At 38.3% G+C, this 23,345-nt stretch overlaps 1 protein-coding gene across 11 annotated transcripts in view; it reads right to left on the reverse strand.

Annotated features, from left to right (window-relative positions):
* PARD3 (par-3 family cell polarity regulator) overlaps nt 1-23,345 on the reverse strand; it is a 705,736-nt gene that overhangs the window by 345,924 nt on the left and 336,467 nt on the right. For all 11 annotated transcript variants that reach the window (NM_001184790.2, NM_001184791.2, NM_001184789.2 and 8 more), the window contains exon 4: nt 14,601-14,779. In NM_001184790.2, the coding sequence (NP_001171719.1) occupies nt 14,601-14,779 (179 nt within the window). The remainder of the gene's footprint in view (nt 1-14,600; nt 14,780-23,345) is intronic.

Consider the following 23,345-nt stretch of genomic DNA (forward strand, 5'->3'; position numbering starts at 1 on the left):
AATGATGGCTTAGAATGATTTTTTTTGAGACAGTCTCGCTCTGTTGCCGAGGCTGGAGCCTCGGCAACAATTTATTTATTCATCTTCTAAAAAATAAATAAAAACAGAAAAAAGAGACAGATAAGGGTGAAATAAAATGACTCACACACACAAAACGCAGGCTTAATCACCAACTTGTAAATGAAGGCAGAAAATTTTGGCAGTTCCTATTGGAATAATAAACTAAATGCCTATTAAGACTTTTTTTTAAATAAGGAAACCCAGAATTTTATTCCAAACACAGTATTCATTATCATTTACCCTAGGTGCATGTCTATTCCTAAGTATAATGAACCAACTAAAAAGCAATATTTGAAATCCATGCAAACCAACTTCCTATGTGTAATGCCTAATGTTGTAGAACTGAGGCCAAGTAATCTGTTCCTATATTATCTGTAATTCCTAAGCCAGTATCCAGCACATAATCAGCACTGGTACATGTATACATCTTACTTTTCCTTTTTGCTAACAGGTTTCCCCCACATTCTTAATAACTATTAATGAGAGGTATGGAAAAGACAAATGAAAGAGTATGTGTTTATAAAGTTTTTATAACAGAACTATGGCAAGACAAAGAGGAAACTCAAACATCCATACATTTTTGTCAAAACAACCACATCGGGATCATTAGTGATAATTAATAGTTTGCTAAACTATGGTGGAGTCTGCAACCAGAAACACTGGTCAGAATCCAGAGATTTTGAATGCCAAAAGACGTATTGCAGCACCTCTTTAGCTCAAATTACTTAAGTAATATTTCATTTTTAAATGTCAATTTTCTTTTTTTTCTGAGACGAAGTTTTGCTCTTGTGGCCCAGGCTGGAGTGCAGTGGCTCAATCTCGGCTCACCACAACCTCCGTCTCCCTGGTTCAAACGATTCTCCTGCCTCAGCCTCCCGAGTAGCTGGGATTACAGGCACCCACCATCATGCCTGGCTAATTTTTTGTATTTTTAGTAGAGACAGGGTTTCACCATGTTCGGCAGACTGGTCTTGAACTCCTGACCTCAGGCGATCCGCTCACCTCGGCCTCCCAAAGTGCTAGGATTACAGGCGTGAGCCACCGTGCCTGGCCAATTTTCTTTTTCAACTGAGTTAAAGTTTTGAACAGGAGTAAGTAAAAAAATTTGAAAATAATTTTTCCAAGCAAATTAACTATCCAACAAATTAACAATATACAAAATAAAATATCCTAACATATATATCAAATTTTTACTAGGATTTTTCCTTTGAAATGTTAAAGGTATTATCCATAGTTCTTAAAACTCATTCTGACCTGAAAAATGAACTATATCATTCTTCACATTTGATAATATCTTTTCTAGTCATTCTGATACATACTCAGTATCTTCTAGATAATAAAATTCATTTAATTTGGTGAGGAACTCAAGAATTCTGAATATGCCAAAAAATTTTCACAGTGGAATTCTAATATAGAAGAATTTCTATATTAGAAAGAATTTGAAAATTACAACTAAGTTTCCAAATACAATTCCTGTCATGGCAGCAAACCCTTCAAGTTGATACACTGACAAAATCAGAAGCATGACATTTTAGTTTTAAGTCATAACCTGTAACTGGCCAGTATCTTGTTAACGGTCTTATCAAACAAGAAAAATAATCACAGGAGTATGGATCTGTATCAGGCTATGAACATAAAGGGATCCAATATGAAAAAGGATTGGTCAAAAATCTCTCCTGGAGATGCAGGTCTGATCAAACTAAAACGGGCGCGGATTTCTCTGAAGCCACTGGATCTGTCCAGAGAGCCAACCAGGGAATCCAAGGAGAAGAGAAAGACCAGCAAAACTCAACCACATCCAGGATGCTCGTTTGAACCAATTTTCTCAGCTGTTCCTAATCCACTTTGACAGAGAAGGAAGCCATGAAAAATTTTGGATACAGCATTTTAAAGCTGGAAGGAAGAAGCTAGACAACAGCTAGGTTAACCTCTTACTGACTGAAAGAAGAAACAGGGATCTGGAGAAGTGATAACAAATAAATTGTGGAGATGAGGATGACAACCCATTCTCATGGTTACACCTACCCACCTCAATGCCCAAATTCTACTCACTCAATTTCCTTTTTCTTTTTTTGAGACAGGGTCTCACTCTGTCATCCAGGTTGGAGAGCAATGGCACAATCTTGGCTCACTGCAACCTCCACCTCCCGGGCTCAAGCGATCCTCCCATCTCAGACTCCCAAGTACCTAAGACTACGGGTGCAAGCCAACACACTCAGCTAATTTTTTAACTTTTTGGAGAGACAAAGTCTCACTATATTGCCGAGGCTGGTCTTAAACTCCTGGGTTCAAAAGATCCTCCTGCCTAAGCCTCCCAAAGTATGGAATTATAGGTATGCACCACCAGCCTAGCCTCTACTCAATCCTGAGTAATAAAATTTCCAACTTCTCATTCTTAATCTAACATGGAACCATAGTTTAGGTGGCTAATGACAAAAATTTCTGATATCTAGTCACTGCTACACAAGCATCCCATCACATGGGAAGGTAGTTCTTGAATTCAAAATGATGATATATTTGATCACAAATTATATTTTCATAGAGATGGTTGGTTCACTAAGAAATACTATACAGTGTTACGAATAATCATACGTAAAATGTTGGCTTTAAAATTGTCTCATTTCATTCTTAAAATAATTTTTTAATTTTGTTTTAATTTTTTATTTATTTTTTGGGGAGACAGGGTCTCACTCTGTCACCCAGGCTGGAGTGCAGAAGCACAATCATAGCTCACTGAAGCCTCAACCTCCCCAGCTCAAGTGATCCTCCCACCTCAGCCTTCCGAATAGCTGAGACTATAGGCACACATCACCACACATGGCTAATTTTTTAATTTTTTGTAGAGACTGAGTCTTACTATGTTGCTCAGGCTGGTCTCAAGCTCCTGGCCTCGAGAAATCCTCCCATCTTGGCCTCCCAAAGTGCTGAGATTACAGGTGTGAGCCACTGTGCCCAGCCTCAAATTATTTTACAAAACAAAGATCTGATTAATTCCAGGAGCTTGAGACTGTAGTGAGCAACAGCTGGACCACTGCAATCCAGTCTGGGCAACAGAGAGAGATCCTCTCTCAAAACAAGAGAAAATCTCTTTCCAGGTATAACTTAGATTATCTTCTTTATCCTGGGAAAACATGCAGAAAGAGGTGAGGAGGAAATAGATGAGGGAAGTTTAACGTTTATAAAAAATTACAAAAATGTTGTCCACTCTTAGACTCTGAGGAACTGAAGGACAGAGCCTAAAGGAAAGCCGCATGAACCACAGCCTCCACTTGCTTTCCTGCACAGTATTTCATAAGGGCCAACATGGCCCCTGAATTCCCCTAGAGCCACCAGCATTCCACTATCAGCAGTGGGCAGGAATGGAGAACACGGGACCACCATTTTTGACCTATACTCCTTAAAACAAGAAGGGTGAGTGTGTGAAAGAATAAATAAATAAATATTTCGGGTTCAATTAAATCTTGAAGATCTTGACTCACTTTCTTACACTACACTAAACATGAGGAGCAACATTTGACTAAAAGCTGCTTAACTCTGAAAAACAAATTTATACTGAAACAATTTAAAAACATTTTAGAAAGTGCTTAACTTTGAAGGCAAGAAATACGCAACAACATTTCATTTTCTTTCTTTTTTTTTTGAGACGGAGTCTCGCTCTGTGGCCCAGGCTGGAGTGCAGTGGCGTGATCTCGGCTCACTGCAAGCACCGCATCCCGGGTTCACGCCATCCTCCAGCCTCAGCCTCCAGCACAGCTGGGACTACAGGCGCCCACCACCATGCCCAGCTAATTTTTTTTTTTGTATTTTTAGTAGAGGCGGGGTTTCACCGTGTTAGCCAGGATGGTCTCAACCTCCTGACCTCGTGATCCGCCCGCCTCGGCCTCCCAAAGTGCTGGGATTACAGGCGTGAGCCACCACACCCGGCCCTCATTTTCTTTCAAAAATGCTCCACTCTAAATATGTATGCTCCAAAACTAAAATTATAAGTAACAATAGCATTTTGCATCAAGAATACTATGCACAATACAAAAAGAAGGGAACAGATGCTAGACAGAAAGGGAGAGATAGTAAAATACTTATAGTGGTTGCCTAATTCCAAAATACCTACAGTCTTATACATTATTTAGATGTGCATCATAAATATTTTATATTTATCTAAATATTTTTCGTCTGAATTTAAAAACGAATGTATATATACATATATATTTAAATAAATTACTACAATTTGAAAATGAAGAGATTTAAATCACATATAACTAGTCTGACAATGTAAGATAATTACCACTTTCTTCCATTTTTCAGCCCACAATCCAAACTCCAATGGACTGGATGGATGCGTAGAAGAATTGGGTAATTTCTGTGAAAGTCCCTAGGTACAGTCTACCTTAGCTTTCCCCTTAATTGTGAAAGTGCCTCCTCAGGTACACTGTCTCCACAGATACTTTTTATCTTAATGTAGAAAGTGCTTATTTTCATTTATCATAATCTTATCCTACATATTGTTTCTCATAAGTAATGACTTTTGTGGAGAATTACATTGCCACATGGGAAGCATTTAGAGTAAAGAAATGGATGGCACAAACTTCTAAAGAACTGAGTTCCTCTCTACCACCCCATTAGCAGAAAAAGCATGTTCTCTAAAAAGGATATTAATATTCAAGGAAACTATTTCTGTCCTCCATTCATGGCTAAAAACTACAATTTTAGAAAATGTGATTCAGGGAATTTGAGTAACGTCTATTGAAACCTTACTCTCCCCTTCCCCCCAAAAAAACACAATCTAACTAAAGTCGAAATAAAACAGATATTGCAACAAGATGCCCCAATAAAAATTAAATACAAAAGTGCAAGTACCCAGCCAAGAGAATTCAGCACATTTATATCACAACTTTATCATTTAACAGCTGGTTGAACTATTAGGTGTAACATTTAACAGCTGGTTGAACTATTAGGTGAGCTATTTAAACTCTCCAGGGCTCTACTTGCTCACCAATAAAATAGGTACAAGGCCGGGCGCGGGGGCTCACACCTGTAATCCCAGCACTTTGGGAGGCCGAGGCGGGTGGATAACGAGGTCAGGAGATCGAGACCATCCTGACTAACACGGTGAAACCCCGTCTCTACTAAAAATACAAAAAATTAGCCGGGTGTGGTGGCAGGCACCTGTAGTCCCAGCTACTCGGGAGGCTGAGGCAGGAGAATGGCATGAACCTGGGAGGCAGAGCTTGCAGTGAGCCAAGATCACACCACTGCACTCCGGCCTGGGCGACACAGCCAGACTCGTCTCAAAAAAATAAAAATAAAAATAAAAATAAAATGGGTACAGCAACAGTACCTACACTTCTGGTATAGGTATAATTAAATGATATATAACATGTAACATACCAAGCATGGCATAATGCCTAGGAATAGCAAGTATTCAAAAACAACTTTGTTATCATTAGTGAAAATATTAAAACCAAGAAAACAGATTTGGCTTATAGGTAAAATAGATGGAAACCACTTCTACTACCAAATTTCGAGAAACACTGACTGGAACACATTTCTCCAAAGGCAGCCCAGATCATAACAGGAGCAGGAATATATGCAAAATTAAAAGAAAGGATGTTTAAAGTCCTTAGAATGCAAACAGGTGCTCCAGTTGCAGCAATCCATCTGATACTCTTCTTGTTAATAACAGGACCTGAAGGGACTAGATCTAACTTCACAACTCAAAACAGGTAGGCTTATAAGCTGAATTATAAAAAATTAAAAATAGAAACTAGCTTAAAAAGATGAAGCCAGGCATGGTGGCTGATGCCTGTAATCCCAGCACTTTGGGAGGCCGAGGCGGGTGGATCACCTGAAGTCAGGAGTTCGAGACCAGCCTGGCCAACACGGTGAAACCCTGGCTCTACTAAAAATACAAAAAATTAGCCGGGTGTGGTAGTGGGCGCCTGTAATCCCAGCTACTGGGGGGGCTGAGGCAGGAGTTTCGCTTGAACCCAGGAGGCAGAGGTTGCAGTGAGCTGAGATCACACCACTGCATTCCAGCCTGGGCGACAGAGTGAGACTCCATCTCAAGAAAAATAAATAAATAAATAAAAAGATGAAATGAGATCAAATGAGATTAAAATATTTTTTCAATGTATATAGACTACGCAAAATTTTGTTCTATATAATTTAATCAATGATACTTCCTGGTTCTCTCCCCTAAGTCAAGACAATCAGGTATAACATATTCATTTCCCTCTGTGATGTATGTAACTTTAAGGGCACACAAGAAGGCTTCTGACTTTATTCAGGATTTATACTCCTGCAGTGGTTTGTGAACTCTAAAAATATCGCATCCAAGCTCCAAAATTTTATCAATAACACCTTAGGATTTTATCACTTTGAACACAAAATATTTAAAGCATATGAAGGCAGACTGTATTCCTAATGTAGCATAGAAAAAGATGAGACTAGGTTATCAATAACTCAGTGAGCCCAGCCTATTGTAGAAATGATTATAACCATACTGACTGAAAGTTCGAAAATGTGCTGCATTCAAATAAGATATTTTAATATGCAAAATAGAAGGGTAAAATTTATAGTTATAGAGACCTCTAACAGGAAATACAAAATGTTGCAGCAGAATAGTTTAAAGTCTGTTCTCAGCTGGATCTCCCTTGAAACTAATGCCGCAGAAAATTAAAGAGAGCTACAGGTCTGTCACAGAGGACATGTGATTCTAAAGAACTATCTCAGCTCATCCTTTAAGCTTTTGGATGGTTACCATAATGCTGGAAGCTATGCTTGGCTCACAAATAACCAAACGATAAACAACTTCTTCTCAGCAGCCAACTGGTCAAGTGTATTTTGTGGTTTAAAATAATCTTCTTCAAATCCAACAGAACATAAAGGGAAAAAAATAAAATAAACTTTTAAAAACGTAATTTAGAAATAAAATAGTGTTTTCAAATTTACTAATATGACAGTTGGCCTTGTAAATTAGAAAGAATGAATGAGGAGAAGCAGAAATCAAGAAGTCAAACTGGTGCAGGCGCAGTGGCTCAGGCCTGTAATCCAAACACATTGGGAGGCCAAGATGGGAGGATCACTTGAGCCCAGGAGTTCAAGATCAGCCTGGGCAACATAGTGAGACCCCATCTCTTAAAAAAAAAATAGCTGGGTGGGGTGGCCCATGCTTGTAGTCCAAGCTACTTCATGGGCTGAGATGGGAGGATCACTTGAACCCATAAAGTTGAAACTGCAGTAAGCCATGCACTGAACTCCAGCCTGGGCAATAAAGCAGAGCCAGACAGTGGCAAAAGAAAAGGAAAAGGAAAACGGAAAGGGAAGAGGAAAGAGAAGGGGAAGGGAAAGGGAGGAGAAAGGGGGAGAGGAGGGGAGAGGGGAGGGAATGGGAGGGAAGGGGAGAGGGAAGAGAAGGGGGGAAGGGAGAAGCAGGGAAGGGGAAGGGGAGGAAAGAGAATGGGGAGGGGAAGGGTAGGAAAGGGAACGAGGAGGGGAAGGGGAGGAAAGGGAAGGGGGAGGGGAAGGGGAGGGAAAGGGAAGGGAAGAGGAAAGGAATGGGAAAGTGAAGGGGAAGAAAAGGAAAGGAAAAGGGAAAGAGAAGGGGAAGGGAAAGGGGAAGGGGAGGAAGGAAAAGGGAAAGGAAAGAGAAGGGGAAGGAAAGGGGAAGGGAAAGAAAAGGGGAAGGGGAAGGGGAAAGGAAGGGAAAGGGAAGAGGAAGGGGAAGGGGGAAGAGGAAGGGGAACAGAACAAGAAAGGGGAGGGGAAAGGGAAGGGGAAAGGGAAAGGAATGGGAATGGGAAGGGGAAGGGGAAGGGGAGGGGAGGGGAGGGGAGGGGAAGGGGAAAAGGAAGGGAAGGAAAAGAAACAAAGGGGTTTTGAAAGGAATGAAGGAACACACAGAAACAGTAGACAGAAACATTGTTTTCATTAAGGCTTCTATCTAGAAAGATATTTTCAGTTATATTTTTGTATTGATAGTCAACATCCAATATTAAATGAGTTGTAGGACTTTTAAAAGACTCAAAATTAATTTTTCATTTGAAAATGATAAATTTGTGCAATCTAAGTATGAGAGGAAGTGAAATGTCACAAACCCAAATACAGCAAATGTACTAGATTCTAGTCTGCATTCGCTTAAACAAAAGATATCTCAAAAAAAACATTATACAGTCATGCACCCCATAACAACGTCAATGGACCACATATATAATGGTGATCACATAAGATTAAAATCCTGTATTTTTACTATACTTCTTCTATGTTTAGATATGTTGGATACACAAATATCTAAATATGAATGCATTGTGTCCCAGCTGTGTATTCAGTATAGCTACATGCTATATAGGTTTCCAGCCTAGAAGAACAGGATATACCATGTAACCTAGGTGTGTTGTAGGCTACACCATCTAGGTTTGTGTAAGTGCACTCTATGATGTTCACACAAGGATGAAATCGCCTAACAATGCAATTCTCAGGATGTATCTCTGTCATTAAGCAAGGCATGACTATATTCCTATTTGCTCTCCCTTAAAATGTAACCATACTTTGTTTTCAGCTAGACCCGAGGTCCTGCGGGAAAAAAAAAAAAAAGACCGAGCCCTGAAAACCACAGAAGAGCTTTAAGGAAGCACACAAATTTTCTGGAGTGGGTAAAGGAATCTGTTGGTGTGAGTAATGCCTGTGTTTCAGCTCTTGGAAGTCTACAGGTAATTCTGATGCACACCCATGTAGAACCTTTAAGCTATCTAGTAAGACAGTAAGTTCTGGAACTCAGGAATAGTACCAGCTGCTTGTTTCCTTCACCACCACCCTCAAGCCTCACTCCTATCCTATTTATCTAGGACTTCTCAGAGCATTTTATACATCCTAACTACTTCATACTTTATTAGCCTAGAATTTATGTGAAACAATTACTAATAGCTTTAAAAATGTTCATCTCCTTACCAAATAAGTCTACTGGAGGAATCTAGTCAAAGAAAATAATCAGAGATGCCAACATAAATTGATAAATAAGGACATTCTCTGAAGGGTACTTCTAAAGGTTACTTATAAAAGCAAACAAAATTGGCAAAAATATAAATGTCATACAACAGAAAAAACCATCAAATAAAGTTAAACATTAACTATAAGAACTCAACACATAATATAACATTATGTAAACTATCCATATTTATGAGGCATAGGAAAATTCTCTCAATACAGCAGAAATTGGAAACATTGCAGGAAATTAAACTATACTTGGATGGTTCCCCCTGGTAATAAGAATAGCCAACATCTGTATAGAGCCATGCTCCACAGAAGTCCTGAAGTTAATACATCAAAATGTCATTACTACTCATCTTCAAAATTTCAAATTACAATCATCCCTCAGTATCCATGGGGGACTGGTTCCAGAACCCCTTGCAGATACCAAAATCCATAGATGCTGAAGTCTCTTACATAAAATGGTGGACTACTGCACATAACCCATGCACATCCTCCCATATAGTTTAAATGATCTCTAGATGACTTATATGACCTATTACAAAGAAAATGCTTTGTGTAAATAGTTGTTATTCTGCATTATATAGGAAATTAGGACAAAGAAAAGTTTCTACGTGTTCAGTACAGACACAACCATTGTTTTTTTGTTGTTGTTCCAAATATTTTCAATCTAATCTTGGTTGAATCCGTGGATGCAGAACCCATGGACACAGAAGCCTGATGGCATTTCCCTGCTTCTATATACCCTTCATTACCGTACATATGCAAAGAGCAAGCTGTATTACTATCAGGGAAAAAAAAGGGGGTTGGGGAACCTTGAAAAATACTTCAAAAATGTTTATAAAAATAATTTCCTAAACTTAGACAAAACATCTCACCCTTCTAATAGAAAGAAAAGCGAGATGACAAAGACATAACTAAGAAAGCATCTCTTACAAGTGGTTGTGTGTATCGGGGGTATTGGAAAGATAGCAAACATGCTAAGCAACTAAACCAAACAGAAATAATAAACCCAAGGGGTAAGAAACATTGCAAGGTCTCCATTTAAAAAATCAAAAGAAAAGGAAGCTAATGATGCCAATGCAATAGGTTCCCTTTATTACTTTCTTCCCCTTTCCCTAATCAGGTGAGAATCTCTTTTGGAAACTTGTCCGGACCTGGTTTTTATACTAAGTCTACCTATGTTAATTGTTTAGGGGGAAATATCATTTACAAAAACAATGCCACTCATTATTTAGAGGGAAGGAACAATGGCTTGTAGCAACTGCACAGTGAAATAGTCCACAGTCCTTATCCCCGGCACTGCATGGAAAGCAGATTCTTCTAAGAGCTCATTACATCTTTCTTGATGGGATAAATCACATGCTCTCCACAGACTAGCTGGCCTCTTTATTCACAGCAACACTGACTTAATAAGGAAGACCAAAGAGGTGGCAAGATGATTTAAGTATTCACACCGATTGAAATACTCTTCCTCAGGATAAAATATTAACCACATGTTAACTCTCAAATGAAAATACAGCCTCTAGCAAGAAACTTTCCACACAAAGTATGAGCAAAATGTTCCCTAAAACAGTTGGAAAAGGTAGTCAGCCACAAAATACTGGACACAAAGGTGAGTATTTCAAATAACTTTGAAAAAAGCCACAACTCCCTTACCCTCTCCATCTCACTTCCAAATGAAAACATGAAATATTTTAAGAAATTCAGAAGCCTATGGGACCCTCGGCCTCTTCAGGCCCTCAAGCAACTGAGTATCATCATCATCTGTACACTCTGCCCACTAAGCTAATAGTGGAATGAGATTATGACCACTATTTCAACAAGGAAGACTCCACCTCTCGTTTGTGATTTTGAACCAAAGGAGAGAGTTTGACATGATGGTGCTCTAACATATCAGAATACAACTTTCCTGCTTAGAAACAAGATTTTAATTGATTGGTAACATTATTCTAAAATAATTTACTCTGCTCATTTAACTTGGAAGAATATAAACCACTTAACTATGTAGATGAGTTATTTAAGAATGTTAACTTATTTTAACCACTAGAGATCACTAAATCAGAGGGCTATGAATGCACAACTAATTTATTTCTACAATTTTATACAGAAAACCTGAACCACTACAGACTCATAAGAATTTATAACATCTTAAAGCATGAGACCATAGGTAAGCTCTCCTGGGCTTAACAGAAATAAATAAATTGAATGCTTTGTACCTAAGCAGCAAGTATGCTTTCCTTCCTTCTGAATATTGAAAAGATGAGGAGGCTTTTTATAACTGAAAATAAAATGCCATCTAATCATATTTATATATGAGCTCTCAGACTAAAATACAAACAGCATAAAACGCAGACAGCAAGATTAGTATTTGAAGAGTAAAGCCAACGAAAATTCAAAATACTAATTCATTACACATTACTATTTAAGTATATCATATGCGAATATCACTTCATCTAAAAATATGTATGTAGATCAAGGCTTTTCCTATGGGAAAGTATGGGCATCTGGTTACATTAAATACTGCTCCATGGAAGTAAAAAGATTGCTGAATATTTAACAATTTTTAAGATAAATATTATATTTAAGGATGTCTCACAACACTGATACTTAAAATGTGAAAAAAAGAGAAAGAGCATGGATGTCCAAAATTGAGAGAAAACAGAATACAATCTACAATGAAATGTTTTACACTCATTAAAATATTGATAATAAAATTCACACCAGGGAAAATCCCTATTGTACGAAAAATAATGTTGAAATAATCAGGATGCAAATATATGAACATAGCATGACTCCAACTTGTGTGTGTGTGTGTGTGTGTGTGTGTGTGTGTAAATACTGGTTGTTGCTGGGTTCTGGAGTTATGAATAATTTTATTTTGTTCTATAAGTTCGCCAAATTTTCTACAATGATAGTAGCATGTCATTTAAAACAACAGGCTGGGCATGGTGGCTCATGTCTGTAATTCCAGCCTTTGGGACGCTGAGATGGGAGGAACACCCAAGTCCAAAAGTTTGAGACTGGCCTGGGCAACACAGCAAGACCCCGTTTCTAAAAAAATTAAACAACCAGCCAGGTGTGATGGCTAGTGCCAGTAGACCCAGCTACTTGGGAGGCTGAGGCAGGAGAATGCTTGAACCTGGGAGGTAGAAGTTGTAGTGAGCTGAGATTGCACCACTGCACTCCAGCCTGGGTGACAAAGCAAGACCCCATCTCTAAATAAATAAATAAATAAATAAATATTTAAAAATGAAACTGCGTCAGCTAGGTGGATGTGGTTAATTGGCAGTGAGAGTCTCAGTGCTCTCCTAACGTGTTCCTGTGCTGCAGAGGTTTTAAGGCTAATGTTCTACTTCCCAGGCTCTTCTGCAGAGAAGGGTCTAGATACAAACTGAACTCCACCTACTCAGATTCAGTAGCATGAGATTTTAATAGTGGTTTGAAACAGAATTTTCCTGGGCTGTGATGACTGGCAGCATTTCTAGGGTGGGTCTCCAGCTTCACAAGTGACAGAAGCAAGTTGAGTACACCTGGAGGCAGGGTGGTGTATAGTGTGTAGTAGGCAGGCTCCGGTGGGAGGAGTTCAGGCCCCTGGACTGCAGCACCTCCTTCACCACGAAAGCAGAGAGGGTAGCTCCACAGGCAAGCCACATGTTTGTTACTGCATAGTTTTAAAGGTTCTCCAGGACCACCTAGGACCTGCTCTGCAAACCCTTCCAGTGATTTTGTGAGAAAAACATTCTAAGTGATAAATTCCTTTTGTTCAAAAATGTTTTATGATAAAAACACGTTCTGTTTGCTGCAACTGAAACGGACTCACACATCCAAGATGTTGAATGACTTGAAAAGAAACTTCCGTATGTTTCAAACAGTTGAAAACCAAGTTAAAAAAATTTTTTTAAACTGCCAGCTTGACTTGTTTACACATTTGTGAATATCCATGTAAATTAAATTAGGTCTGTTCTAAAAAAAGATTAACTGCCATGAGACCCACTGATAAACTGGATTCTGCTTCTTTGGATAGTCTACTGCAAGATAAAGTCCTCAAAACTTACAAGCTAATCTTAATGAGAAGATCTTCCAATATGGCTCCTCAACACATCTATAAAAACAAAGTATTTCAGGAGACTAAGCCTAACAGTTAAGTTCATAATTCAAAAAAAAACCAGAAACTAAATATACTCTTTTTTTCAACTAGATTCTTCTCAGTTTAAACCTATGTTTTCCATGTACTTTTTTTGTCACTAGAATTACTACAGAGAGGAGTGTGCTGAAATGCAAACCAAAGTTGAAAGAAATATTTAAAACAGGTATTTTTATACCTATGCAAAGAATAAATCAAGCAAATATCAAGCTACATCTTTTTCATCTTATGTGATTAGTATTATTTTGACATTTCTCAATATATACTGTGCTAACTTACTGGCTGCACTGAAAAAATGTTTATTAATTCTTTCAACAGAAGTTTATTGAGCATCTACAGATTCAAAAGTGAAAATGACAGATTCAGCAAAAAGCACATTAAATAAGAGGTGAGAAGCGTGACAAAAAGGAACAATAAGGGTTCTGACAAAGAGCATCAACATTTTTTTAGTTGTTGAGATGGAGTCTCACTCTGTCGCCCAGGCTAGAGTGCAGCGGCGTGATCTCGGCTCACTGCAACCTCCGCCTCCTGGGTTCAAGCGATTATTGTGCCTCAGCATCCTGAGTAGTTAGAATTACAGGTGCATGCCAGCACACCTGGCTAATTTTTGTATTTTTAGTGGAGATGGGGTTTTGCTATGTTGGCCAGGCGGGCCTTGACCTCCTGGCCAGGAGTTCCACCTGCCTTGGACTCCCAAAGTGCTGAGATTATAGGTGGGAGCCACCACGCCCAGCCAACAAATTTTTTAAAACAGACAAAACAAGCTAAAATAAAGTTTCTTTATTCAGATTAAATAAATTAGGTCAAGGACTAAAATAAATTAGGTCAGGGAAGAAAGTATTATGAAGACTAGACAACACACTTCCATTTACAAGGAGACTTAGGATAAAACGATCAACTGTGTAATCAAACTAAATTACCATGAAGTCCACTTTCATCCTTAAAAGTTCATAATGTTCTAAGTTCCTTAATGTACCTCATGAACCAATATAAATATTTGCTTATAAATGTGTCAAATATCCCTGTAAGAACATAGAAAAAGCAAATAAAGAGGTTGCCTGTGAGGAGAAATGGGAGAGGAGACCAGGAGACACAGCAAGAAAGGGACTTTATATGGCACATAATGTGTTGAATGTTTTCATTTTTAACGATATGAAATGGAATCTATTCAAAAAATGGATATATTAATAAGTGCACACCATACACGGCACTGATTTTCATCAGAAAATCCAAGTGTGATATAAAATAGGAGACTATCTGAACTTTGATATGAAAGTTGGTACCACGCTCACAAAAGGCCATCATGAAGATGCCCTGGAATCCAATGGTTTACCCAAGACACGACACTCATCACGGACACCAAGAAGTCAGGAGGGGCAAGAGACAGCAGCAAACAAGCAGAGGTGGTTACCTTCCTGTCGCAGGTTTTAGGACTCCCAGCAGTGTTCTGCTTGAGGAAGCCAGCTGTTGTTGACCAGCGTGTGGGATTTTTCCTTGAAGGCTCTTCAGAGGAAAAATTACTATCACTGACAGAAGTGGAGAGGCCAATTAGAGCTGGGTCACTACTGCGTCGAACATGAAGAGGCATATCTGTAAACACAAAAGCACTATGCTGAAAAATAAGATACTAATGTTGGTAAACTACATGTTAGGAGAACGTAGGGAAATCCTAAAGATTAAGGAACAGAATTACACTTTTGTAAAAGGGGACAAGTGGGTCAGTATTCTAAACACAAATTCCTTTAGGTCCTTTAAAATACTACACGGTGAAAGAGATGCGGTCAAGTGTCGGCTCCGAGCAAAATGGCCCAGGTTTGTACTTGGACTTCACTCCTTGTTATCTATGTGGCCCTGGCCAGGTTGCCTAACTGTTCTCTGCCTCTAGTCCTTTCCAACTCAAATGAAAATAAAACAGTACCTCTTTCATCAGGGTAATGTAAGGACTAAATAATATAAAGGGGTTAAACAGTGCTAGACATATAGTGTGTACTCAGTAGAGAGTAATATAATAACCATTACTGTGATCATTACCCCAATATTTCTAAATAATCATCACATATATCATTTAAAAAATAATGAATCTAAGCAAGTAAACAAATTTCACCTACCTTTTAATCATATCTACTGTAATAAAAACACAGAATCTATATAGTTAACAAATAATTTATTGTATATTTCAAAGTAGCTAGAAGAGAGGATTTGAAATGTTTCCAATACAAAAAAAGATAAATAATTGAGGTGTGAATATCCTAATTACCTAGATTTGACCATAACACATGGTATGCATGTATCAAAACATCACATATTCTCCGTAAATACATAAAATTATGTATCAATTTTTAAAAATCTATAGAATCTAGACATTTGGCTGCTCTACTGAAAAATTTTGTTGAATAAAATGTTTCTTTTGTTCAATAAAGTATTGTCAGAAAGTGTAGTGCCCAAATATATTATTTATACTTAAGACAGAAAATACTCAAAGTAATATGTTAATCTGCAGGTAGTTTCTGTCATATACTCACATATACAATTACACGAAAGGTAGTATTTTAGCAAATGTATTTGCATAGAAGAGCTTGCTTGCAATTGCTATAACAGTATCAATAATACACTCAGGTGAACATTTGTATCATTATCAGTAACAATGAGAACAGCCTGGCAAATAGGATCACTGTCACAGCAGAGAAGAAACAGAATTAAAAATGCAAAGTGAAGAAGAAAAGAGTCTGCAATAGCTGCAATCAGAACTAAAAGTTCCACTCAGCAACTGAGTGAAATCACTCAAAAACATAAGACAAAATTTAAATTATGTTTAGAATACTCTGTTTTTAAAAACTAGGATGTAAGTATTTGTTTTAAAGCCTCTAACAATACAGTTTTACTGACTGATTGACTGGTTGAGACAGAGTCTGGCTCTGTCACCCAGGCTGGAATGCAGTGGCACAATCTCGGCTCACAGCAAACTCCGCCTCCTGGGTTCAAGTGATTCACCTGCCTCAGCCTCCCGAGTAGCTACAGGCTACTACAAGTGTGCACCACCATGATAAGCTAGTTTTTGTGTTTTTAGTAGAGACGGGGTTTCACCATGTTAGCCAGGCTGGTCTTGAACTCCTGACCTCAGGTTATCCACCCGCCTCGGCCCCAAAAAGTGCTGGGATTACAGGCGTGAGCCACCACGTCCGGTCTAATGACATAGCTTTAACCATGAAGCAGTAAACTCATCATTTGTTCTAGGAGGGATATTTTTGAAACACTGGTGCACTGGTCAATGGTAAAGATATGGAAACCTTGAGGATACCAAACAGGCTATTTATATACAGTGAAAGCTGTATTTAAACCACTGTCAATCCAATAGTCTCCAATGTGAAAGCAAATTAGAACTTATCAGAGCAAACAGAAGCATATGAAACATAGTAATAACAAATTTAACATGGACTTCTACATCATGAGGATTCAATAATAACAACACAGTCTGAGCAACGTTACTAGGGCAAAAATTTAGTCAACTCCAAATTTAATACTTTGGTGGCTATCTTAATGTGCTGAGAGAAACATAAACATGAGGATTTTAATAATTTCTGGATTTTAGTGTCTGTAAACATTCATGACAACCTTTGCTGCTTATTAATTTACACCCCCCAAAATAAAAATAAACACCAATAAGAACTATATAGTCACTCTTAGAACAAGGTCGCAAAAATACACATCTAAAAATTGATATGCATTAATATTACAATGCCCTTACTATAAGGAAAGTTCTCTACCAAGAGGAAGCAAAATTTCCAGAATCATCAAATTAAAAACTGTAAGGAAAAAAGCAACAAAATGGGGAGAGGTGGGCAGGAAAACTCTAAAAACTTTTAGACAATGTTATTACTTAGACACAGATTCTGTTGCTGTCCAATTACAGGGTTAGTTATTCAGTTGTTAGGTACCTCTGTACACCTCCATTTCTCTCCCTCTTCTGTCACCCATCTGTATGTAAGTCTACAAGAGGCACTATTAACTCAGAAGAGGAGGCCTTTAAAAAATAGCACAAACATAGGACCAAAAGCAGTACCCAATATCTATAGTAAAATAATCAAAGAAAAGTATATTCTAACCCCCCAATAAATTCAAGGACTGAATTAGCTTGGACACAATAAAACTGCTTGCCCTACTTGTGTTTGAAATTTTCCTCAGGAGAATACATTGCATACATGATTTTGATTAAATAATTAAGACCATCTTCTTAAGATTAGACACAAACATTGTGTTAATGTGTTAGTCTGCAACAGACAGACAAAAATAATTAGCATTTATCTCTATATACCTGTAGCTCTCGAAATAAAATATGGACTGGGGGAAAGGGGATTTGAGAAGAGGAAGATAACAGAGGGAGCTCCAGGCCCTGCGGGATGTCTCTTATGGTGGGTGATGGAGCTCATGGATAGGGTGGTGTTTGCATAAACTGCAATGTGAAGGCTGCTACAGCGAATGCTCTATCATGCAGCCCTTCTTGTTAGTTCTTCCAACATTAAACTTTTTGTTTGCATTTCAGCAATATTTATAAAATAAATTAAAATAAATACAGTCTGGATCTTCTATTTGCACTACCTCGTCACTGAGTACTCCCACGCAATTTCAGGTGCCACGTTTACATTTATGTCCACTGTCAAATTCAGGAAGGAGTCCTAGATTTGATTACCACGCTGATGAGAAAGAACAAAACCCAATAAAACAAGTCAACGAGGCCAGGTGCAATGGCTCACACCTATAATCCCAGCACCTTGGGAGGCCAAAGTGGGAGAATTGCTTGAGGTCAGGAGTTCAAGACCAACTTGGGCAACACAGTGAGATCCTGTCTCTACAAAAAATAAAAAAAAAAAAAATAGACAACTGTGGTAGCACTTTCCTGTAGTCCTAGTGTAGGAGGCAGGACTTGACTGCAGAGGCAGGGCTTGGACACCAGACCAAACTGAGGACTGGCTAAAACAGGGCTGGGACAGAAGCAGTTTTCCATCAAACACACTCACCAGCTGTCATGTCAGTTTACTACTGCCATGGCAACACCTAGGTGTTACCTACTGTTTCCGTGGTAATAACCTAATGTCCCAGTTACTACTCCTTTCCTAAAAATTTCTGTATAAACTTCCCCTTAATCTGCATGTAATTAAAAGTGAGTATAAATATGATTGCAAAACTGCCCTGGGCTGCTACTCTCTGCCCATAGAGCACCCCTGCTCTGCAGAAGCAGTCACAGAGCTGCGACACTGTTGCTTCAACAAAGCTGTTTTCTTCTAGCCCCAGCTTGCCCTTGAATTCTTTCCTGGGCAAACACAAGGACCTTTATGGGCTAAGCCCCACTGTGGGGCTCACATGTCCTGCATCAGTCCCAGCTACTCAGGAGCCTTAGGTGGGAAGATCACTTGAGCCCAGGAGTTCAAGGCTGCAGTGAGCCGTGATTATACTACTGCACTCCAGCCTGGGCAACAGAGCAAGGCCCTGTCAGTCAGTCACTCAACAGCATTTTCTCATCAAAGGATGGCCAAATGACATCATAATGATGTTGAAATCAAGGTTTTCTTATGGTTGGAAGTGCTGTAAGACCTGAGTCATCACAGTACATAAAGGCAGCATAACCCAGGTCCAAATAAATAGACCCCGGGGCAGGTATAGGTTCATACAGCCTACAATTTAGACTCAGCAAGACTTCTTCATCTCTCACAATGATGTGCTTCTATCTGATGGATCTCTGTTACACATCTGGATGTGTATTGGTTTATGATTTCTTCTTGGATTTATGATTGCATGAAAATTATAAGGCATTTTTATGGAGTTTTCACACACACATACACACGCGTGCACAAAGTTTAGTAACAGTGTACTAGAACCCACCACTTAAACGGAGGGATCTGAAATTTTTTTATTTAAATAAGGCACTACATTAGACACATGGAAAAACATGCGACCCACGTCACAGATGAGTAAGCTGAGGCTCAGAGAGATGACATGAAAAGTCAGTTTTCCAGCCAAGACTTCAGGCTCCTGAGCCAGTGCTCAATCACAAATCACAAATTATGAAATCAAATCTATTAAGTTCCATTCCTAGCTACCTGTGGATACAAATGTTGGTTTGTTTTTTAAAAGAGAAGAATTTTGTTGTTTTCCTAGTAGAATTATGCACTGAGAAATCATATCCTGATTTTAATTCATAGAACGATTTCATTTTGGGAAGAGGAAGAAACGTTACATTAGCCATAAACATATATTGTAAGAGACATCCAAATTTCAGAAATGTTAAGATAGGAAAAGGAAAAAAATCTATCATTAAATGGAGGAAGTACTACATATAAAATAGGAAAGCATGCCTGCAAGGAAACAAACTAGATTCAGTGATTCCCAAACTCTGATCTCAGGGCCCTTTCACACTCTAAAAATTGATGACCTCAAAGAGTTTTTGTTTATGGGAGGGTAGAGCTAGTGATATTTACCATTTTAGGAGTGAAAATGAGAACAACTTTAAAATATGTATTAATTCACTTTAATAATAATAAAACTCATCACATGTTAACACAACTCAATTTTATGAAAATTGTATTTTATAAAACAAAGCACATTTAGTGGAAAGAGCAGCAATGTTTAACATTTTGCTTAATAGAAGACATCTGGATTCTCATATCTGCTTCTGCATTCTCAGCTGCCATATGAAAAAGTATATAAAGGAAAAACAGAACTTCACAAATATGTAGCTGGAAGAGGGAATAATATCTTAATAGCTTTTCCAGAAAATTTTAGATTTTCTTCTGTGATACCACACCATAACTCGACCAGTGGTGGTTTCTCAAAGGTCAGCTACAATGTGAATGTGAAGTTTTCTTTCTTTGTTACATTAAAATCTATTTGTCTCACATTTTGAATTAAACTTCTACCCACGAGAAATTCCATAACATTAGTCATTTGGAAAATATTAGTTACTGAGTTATGCCAATCTTCCAAATGTTGATACATTTCTTTATTTCAGAAAATCACATGTTAATATCTCTGCCAATTTAATCAGAAATATCTTTATGTACTGGGAAGCAGTCATGCTCACAGTGGGACATAAGTTTTCCAAAACCTAATTTTACCTAGAAAGTTTGAATTTTATCTTTAGCAACAAATATTGCCCATTTTTTGCCTTACAGTGACAGGCTTGTGTCACTCATTTTTAATAAACTCTCTGCCAGACACTCAGGTCTGAATAACCAGTTTTTCTGTCCGTATTTCAAATGAAAACGCTGTTCTATGAGAAAACCTCACCATGTAAATCAAGCCTTCGCATAAAAGTATTTCTCAAGACAACCACTGAGAAGCTGGGCGTGGTGGCTCACGAATGTAACACTAGCTACTGAAGGAGGCTGAAGCAGAAGGATCACTTGAGCCCAGGAGTTCAAGGCCAAGCTGGGCAACACAGTGAGACCTTACCTCAACAAAAATAAAATAAAATTAAAATTTAAAAAGGAACCACTGAGCTTCCATATGTTGGAGAAGTGTTTTATGCCGACATCATCACACAAAATGTTAAATTGTATATTAAAGTGTCAGATTTTAAGTAATTAATTTTGTTTCTTCATCAAAAACAGTGGGTGAAAATGGCTTTTAAAAACACTGCGAGTGTGTGGGGTAAAGAATACATTTGGTGCCACCGTCTTGATTTGTGCCAAGTGATCTCTACATTTTTGCCCCTCAGGTCCTGGGCACCACTGATGTAGATGTCAACTCGGTGAACAACACAAAATCGCGTTTCATAATACTCTGAAAACAGTACTGCACTTATGGCCTTCCTGAAATGATCTTAGTGATCCCTTAGGGCCCAGAGACCACACGCTAAGAACCACTGGCCTAGACCTGTGATACTGGCACATCAGTCACCTCTCTGGGCCTCCATCCCTAATTTATAAATTCAGAGGCTGCATTGCTGGGTTTAGAAGTTCCCTTTAATACCAAAAAGGTGCGAGTACACATATGTTCATATACCCCCAACCAGTGATCATCCACCAAACCTCATCCTGAGAGAATAATAATTTATGAAAAATGTACTAGAAAAAAACATAAAAGCACTGCAAAGCAGTCTCAGCAGCCATGCTCAGGGTAACTCCCAACAGGTCAAAGTACGACAAGCAACACAGAGTTCTAGAGAATGGTGCAGTAGTAGTCACAAATGGCATGAGATCTTTTCACGAGTTTCACCTTATTTTAAGGAAAGACATTCATATAAATATGTGGCCTTATCAACAAAATGAATCATGAAACACAACTGCCTGATTCATCTAAAAGTTCACCTAAAAGGTTCCCCACCTCTAACTGTCCTGACTAATATAACATTGCATAAAGAAGGTAATTTTGCTTTGGCCTCGGATGAATAAAACATGATCTTCTCACCTATGATTTGCTACGTTTCTGGGGCCCATGGCCTATTTCAGCATTATTAATAATCTGATGTAATTTGTGTTCATTACAGTAATTAGAAATAATAGGAGCTTCTCATTTAAGGTAATTTGGTCACATTATGGCCACTCCTTATCTCAAATTTTAGCAAAACTGATGCATTTTAAAATATGATAAAACTTTCTAATCCCATAATCTTCTGATTTATTTAATATATAGATTTTCAAAGTATATCCTCTGAAATATTAAAAAGAAAATTCAAAGACAAGGATCTTCAATAATTAAGCTGCTGCATGAAGCACAGAGCGACTGGTGCGATGTCACTGGGTCCAGAATGAGGGTGGAGACTGTTTGATGTGTACACTGCTTTGAAGAGGGGATAAAACAGCAATAAACCTTCATCACAAGATCTGAAATTCTCCATGGCACTAATGCACTGTAAATATTGATGTCTCTCTCTAGGTAAGGTGCCTTTTAAATAAGTGGAAGAAATGGTGATCTAATTATGAATTAGAGCAAATACCAAAGGGCAGACATATACATTTTTAACTGTTAAATATCCCACCCTTTCTTCTCATCAACTTGCCCAATGTCTCTCTTCCTTCATTCTTCAAGTCGTTTTTCAACTATTTAACCACTTAAGGCAATGAATAAAACTCTGCCAAGAAGACAGGCATAAATCATCAAGGTATTTAATCGAATCTAAATATAATATGCAGTTACATGTGTGCTTTTAGAACTTATGATACAAACAGCAAAATTACTCTTCATGCAAAATGAAAACTGTCTCTCTCCCATCTTCAGGGCAATCATACATTTCCTAAAGAGACATCTAACCATGGGAAGAACCAAGTTATTATCACATGCTGTGGGGATACAAACCTGTCATCACGATTGCAAAACCAACCTTCAGATATGTGTTACTCCTTTTCATAAAGGTATTTATCCATACTTCATTTATTTCCTAGAATCTTTGGAAGAAATTTGTGGAAGGCAGGGCAAGAAATAAGCTTTGAAAAGCAACAAATGACTCAGAGAGAAGGATATAAAAATGAATCTTATCACCTTGTTATTAAATTTTTTTTCTATATAAGCAATAAATACAGGATACTATGGTTGGAAGATGCTTAGTGATAAACTGAAATATTACATTTTACAGATAAGTGCAATGAGCACCACAAACATAGTTTAAGGGCTAGGTCAATCACTATACTCCAAGAAGACCCAGCTGCATTGGGAGTACTTGGTAATTGACTCTGTGCAATTCAGATCTGATCACATTGCTATCCAGACAAAAATAAAACGTATCAAAAGTACAAGATGCCTATATGTTGCACTTGAAACAACAGGTGATTTAATGGTAAGTTTAAGATACATTTCTGTGGATAACAGGATGTTTTCAATGGTTGCACTGAATCCAACACACATAAGGAGGGAAAATAAAGTCAAGGGGAAAAAAACATATGCAATTTTCTTTCGAGACGGAGTTTCACTCTCGTTGCCCAGGCTGGAGTGTAATGGTGCGATCTCGGCTCACTGCAACCTCCGCCTCCCAGGTTTAAGTAATTATCCTGCCTCAGCCTTCCGAGTAGCTGGGATTACAGGCATGTGCCACCACGCCCAGCTAATTTTGTATATTTAGTAGAGACAGGTTTTCTCCATGTTGGTCAGGCTGGTCTCAAACTCCCGACCTCAGGTGATCCACCCACCTGGGCCTCCCAAAGTGCTGGGATTACAGGCGTGAATA

The sequence above is a fragment of the Homo sapiens genome, chromosome 10, assembly GCF_000001405.40.
Source record: "Homo sapiens chromosome 10, GRCh38.p14 Primary Assembly".
NCBI classification, from domain to species: Eukaryota; Metazoa; Chordata; class Mammalia; order Primates; family Hominidae; genus Homo; species Homo sapiens.